Raw genomic sequence first — 5,281 nt, 5'->3', positions numbered from 1 at the left:
TGAAAGTAAACAGAAAGAAACAATAGTGTTAACATGGGAGGTTACTGATAACAGTAGAATAAAATAATAACAAGAGTTCAAATCTACTACTCTAAAAAAGTTTCAAGGCTTTTGGTGTAAAATTACTTTTTATAAAAAGTATAAGAGCTACAGATAAATGACAGGCATTGTAAGCATTGAAACTAGCGAACACTGAAGGCGTGGCCTGCCGCTCCACACCTGTGGGATATCTCATCGGGTGGGATGAGAGACTGAGAAAAGAAATAAGACACAGAGACAAAGCATAGAGAAACAACAGTGGGCCCAGGAGACCAGCACTCAGCATACCAAGGATCTGCACCGGCACCAGTCTCTGAGTTCCCTCGGTTTTTATTGATTATTATTTTCATTATCTCAGCAAGAGGAATGCGGTAAGAGAGCAGGGTGATAATAAGGAGAAGGTCAGCAAAAAAACATGTGAGCAGAAGAATCTATGTCATAATTAAGTTCAAGGGGAGGTACTATGCCTGGATGTGCACGTAGGCCAGATTTATGTTTCTCTCTGCCCAAATATCTCAGTGCAGTAAAGAATAACAAGGCAGCATTGCTGCCAACATGTCTCGCCTCCCGCCATAGGGCAGTTTTTCTCCTTTCTCAGAACTGAACAAATGTACAATCGGGTTTTATACCGAGACATTCAGTTCCCAGGGACAGGCAGGAGACAGTGGCCTCCCTCTATCTCAACTGCAAGAGGCTTTCCTCTTTTACTAATCCAACTCAGCACAGACCCTACACGGGTGTCAGGCTGGGGGACGGTCAAGTCTTTCTCATCCCATGAGGCCATATTTCAGACTATCACATGGGGAGAAACCTTGGACAATACCTGGCTTTCCAGGGCAGAGGTCCCTGTGGCTTTCCACACAGTGCACTGTGCCCCTGGTTTATCGAGACTAGAGAATGGCGATGACTTTTACCAAGCATACTGCTTATAAACATTTTGTTAACAAGGCACGTCCTTTCCTGCACAGCCCTAGATCTCTTAAACCTTGATTCCATACAACACATGTTTTTGTGAGCTCAATGTTGGGGCAAAGTGGCTGGGGCAAAGTGGCTGGGGCAAAGTTACAAATTAACAGCATCTCAGTGAAGCAATTGTTCAAGGTACAGGTCAAAATGGAATTTCTTATGTCTTCTCTTTCTACATAGACACAGTAACAGTCTGAGCTCTCTTTCTTTTCCCTACAAACAGAAATCTAATTTTCACATAAATGGGAAAGGGTGATTTCAAATCTAGTAAATCAGAGCAAACTACAGCATGTGATTCCTGGATGGGATTCAGGAAAAATTCCTAAAAAGAGGGTTTGGCCTTTAAAAGTGATAATCAACAGAAAATATAGAATTTACTAAGGATAAATTTTAAGACATGAAATTCATCTTCCTTTTTGATATTACTAGTCTTACAGATAAAGAGATGTAACTGGGGCATAATCTCCATATATAGAAGATGAAGAAACATGAAACTGATACAACTTACAATAAATGTTGCAATAATGAAATGAATGTTAAAAATAAGTTGAACAGAAATATGCAAGGTCTTGTAATGCTTTTTTTTTTTTAAGCACAAATGTGAATTGGGTAAAGAAAGCTGATTTAACAGCAACACATTTGACTTCAATATTATGGTAAATGAGTCCAAAGTCATACTGCCCCTCCCGTTTGGTATTTTAAGTACAGTAATAGACAAATACACACAGAATAAAATAACACAATAATACTCTGTTACTCTCTGTTGATCGAATCCCATAAGAACTATTATATTCAGTTATAAGCATCATTCTTAAAAAAGAACACTGTCAAACTGGATATCCTTTTGGTCTAAAGAATGATAAGATTTAGGAATAAAATAATAATCATATACAACACCTCACAAATTCAAAGTAATTAATTCCTTTGTTCATTCAATAAATAATTTATTAAGGTCTAGAAGTTACTGTTCTGGGAACTAGAATATATGAACATCCAAGATAAAGACCATGCACTAACAGTGCTAAATTCTAGGAACAAAGATTTATATGTATGTATGCATACACTACTTTATTCCAAAAAAACACTGAAGGTGGCTACAAGTTATGTAAAGCATGAAGGAAGGCATAAAATATGAGTAGATGAGAAAAGAGGAAGCAAAGGAAAACAAGATTAGGAACAGACAGGGAGTAGAATTAGGATCAAGAAGTAGAATTAATTTCCTATCACTGAAAGGTATTCGCAAATACAGACAGGTCACCACAGAATATGATATAAATAAGATAAATAGTAACAATACCACCACCTAACCTTACATGGCGTTTAGTCCTGTTTTAAAGGTTTTATATCCATTATGACACTATTCTTATCTTCATTTTACAGAGAAGGAATCATAGGCACAGAGTTATAAGTATGTTGAAGAATGTTACAAAACCGGTAAGAGACCTAGGATCCAAGCACAAGACGTCTGTCTTCGTGCAAGTTCATATAAACATTACAATCTCATTTAAGAATATTTTTTTAGGAGGGAGGTGAGACAAGACGGCAGAACAGAAAACTCCACAGATCATCCTCCTACCCCTACCACAAGGATACTAAGTTAACAAACAACTACACAGAAAAAAGCATCTTCCTAAGAGCTAAAAATCAGGTGAGCACTCACAGTACCTGGTTTTAACCTCGTATCACTGAAAGAGACACTGAAAAGACAGAAAAACAGTTCCGAGTCTCCGGTGCCACCCCTCCCTGACCCCAGCAGCATGGCTTGGTGCCAAGAGCATCTCTGGGTGCTGGTGAAGGGAGAACAGAGCAATTGTGAGGCACTGAACTCAGTGCCATTTTGTTGCAGCAAAAAGGAAAACCTGACCAAACTAAGCTGAAGTCCACCCAAAAGAAGGCATGTCAACCAGCCTCAGCCAGAGGGCAATCACTGATACCAGCAGTCCAAACCTGACTGCCCGCAAACCTCAGTACCAAAGGCCACAGTGCTCTTGTTGTCTAAGTAAATTGGAAAGGTAATCTAGGCCATAAGGACTGCACCTCATAGGTGAGTCCTAGTGCTGAACTAGGCCCAAAGACAATGGACTGAAGTGGCATGGGACATACTGAGATACCAGCTGGGGCAGCTACGGGAATGTTGGCATCACCTCTCCCCTAACCTGAGACTGCACAGCTTGTGGATCCAAAAGAAACCCCTTCCTTCCACTTGAGAAGAGGAGAGGGAAGAGTTGGGAGGAGTTTGTCTTGCATCTTGCTTATCAGCTCTGCCACAGAAGGACAGGGCACCTTGAGGTCATGAGGCCCTTGTGCCAGGTTCTAGCTCTGGGGTGACATTTCTAGATACACCCTGGGCCAGAAGGAAACCCACTGCCTTGAAGGAAAGGACCCAGTCCTGGCAGCATTCATCATCTGCTAACTGAAGAGCCCTTGGGTCCTGAATAACCAGCAGTGATACCCGGGTACTACGTTGAGGACCTTGGTGAGCTTCTGAGACTTGTTGGCTTCAGGTGAGACTATGCACATTACCAGCTGTGGTGGCTATGGGGCAAAACTCCTTCCACTTGATAAAAACAGAAGGAAGAGTAAAGGGGACTTTGTTTTGCATCTTAGGTACCAACACCACCACTGTGGGGTAGAGCACCAAGTGGGCTTTTGGGTTCCCAATTCTAGGACTTGACTCTTGGACAGCATTTCTAGACCTGCCCTTGGCCAAAGGGGAGCCCACTGCCCTGACGGGTGAGTCCCAGGCCAGGCAGTATTCACCACAAGCTGATATAAGAGCCCTTGGTCCTTAAGGGAACATCGGTGGTACTTTGGCAGTACTCCTCATGGCCAGGTGTGGCGGTGGCTACGGGGTAAGGCTCCTCAGCTTTTGGAAAGGGGAAAAAGTGGAAAGAGTGGGAAGGATTGTGTCTTGTGGTTTGAGTGCCAGCTCAGCCACAGTACAACAGAATGCCAAGTAGATTTCTAAGTTTTTTGACTCTAGTCCCTGACTCCTCTATGGCATCTGTGGACCCACTGGTGGCCAGGGGGACTTTGCCACCCTGAAGAGAAGGACACAGGCCCAGCCGACTTTTCTACCTGCCAATTGCAGAGCCCCAGGGCCTTGAGTGAATATAGGCTATAGCCAAGGAGTGATTAAGACAGGCCTTGGGCAAGACCCAGCACTGTGCTTGCTTCAGGTGTGACCCAGTACCTGAAGTGGTGGTGGTGGTCATAGGGGTGCTTGTATCATACATCATACCAGCCCCAGCTTTAGGTGCCTCAGAACAGAGAGAGAGAGAGACTCTGTGTTCTTGGGAGAAAGTAAGGGAAGAGAAAAAGAGACTCTGCCTGGTAATCCAGAGAATCACCCCAGATCTTATCCAAGGCCATCAAGGCAGTACCTCTACAAGTCTGAAAGAACCAGTGTCACTGGAAAGCCTTCCCAAGAAGGATGGCTACAAATAAGCTCAGGCAATGAAGAGTACAATAAATACCTAACTCTTCAATGCTCGGGCCCCGAGGAACATCTACTAGCATTAACACCATCCAGAAAAACATGACCTCAACAAACGAACTAAATAAGGCACCAAGAATCAATCCTCGAGAAACAAAGATATGTGACCTTTCACATGGAGAATTCAAAATAGCTGCGTTGAGGAAACTCAAAGAAATTCAAGATAACACAGAGAAGGGATTCAGAATTCTATCAGATAAATTTAACAAAGATATTGAAATAATTTTAAAAAATCGAGCAGAAATTCTGGAGCTCAAAAATGCAATTGGCATACTTAAGAATTCATCAAGTCCTTCAAGAGCAAATTGGATCAAGCAGAGGAAAGAATTAATGAGCTTCTGAAGAAAGGCTATTTGAAAACACACAGAGGAGAAAAAAGAATAAAAACCAATGACACATGCTTACATGATCTAGAGAATAGCCTCAAAAGGGCAAATCTAAGAGGTATTGGCCTTGAAAAAGAGGTAGAGAACAGGGTGAGAAAGTTTATTTTGAGTAAACCTTCAAATAACAGAGAACTACCCAAATCTAGAGAAAATATCCAAATACAAGAAAGTTATAGAATACCAAGCAGATTTAACCCAAAGAAGACTACCTCAAGACATTTAATAATCAAACGCCCAAAGGTCAAGAATAAAATAAGAATCCTAAAAGCTGCAAGAGAAAAGAAACAATAACATACAAAGGAGCCCCAATACATCTGGCAGCAGACTTTTCAGTGAAAACCTTATATGCCAGGAGACAGTGGCATGACATATTTACATTGCTGAGGGAAAAAAA

General features: G+C 41.8%; 1 long non-coding RNA gene across 1 annotated transcript; it reads right to left on the bottom strand.

Annotated features, from left to right (window-relative positions):
- Positions 1,661-4,105, bottom strand: LNCRNA-ATB (lncRNA activated by TGF-beta). Its single transcript, NR_160525.1, has one exon. It is a non-coding gene; the product is annotated as a lncRNA activated by TGF-beta (long non-coding RNA).
- Positions 4,106-5,281: the final 1,176 nt, after the last annotated feature.

Source organism: Homo sapiens, chromosome 14, assembly GCF_000001405.40.
Source record: "Homo sapiens chromosome 14, GRCh38.p14 Primary Assembly".
Lineage (NCBI taxonomy): Eukaryota > Metazoa > Chordata > Mammalia > Primates > Hominidae > Homo > Homo sapiens.
The sequence above is the reverse complement of the archived record's forward strand: the minus strand, read 5'-3'. Positions and strand labels throughout refer to the sequence as shown.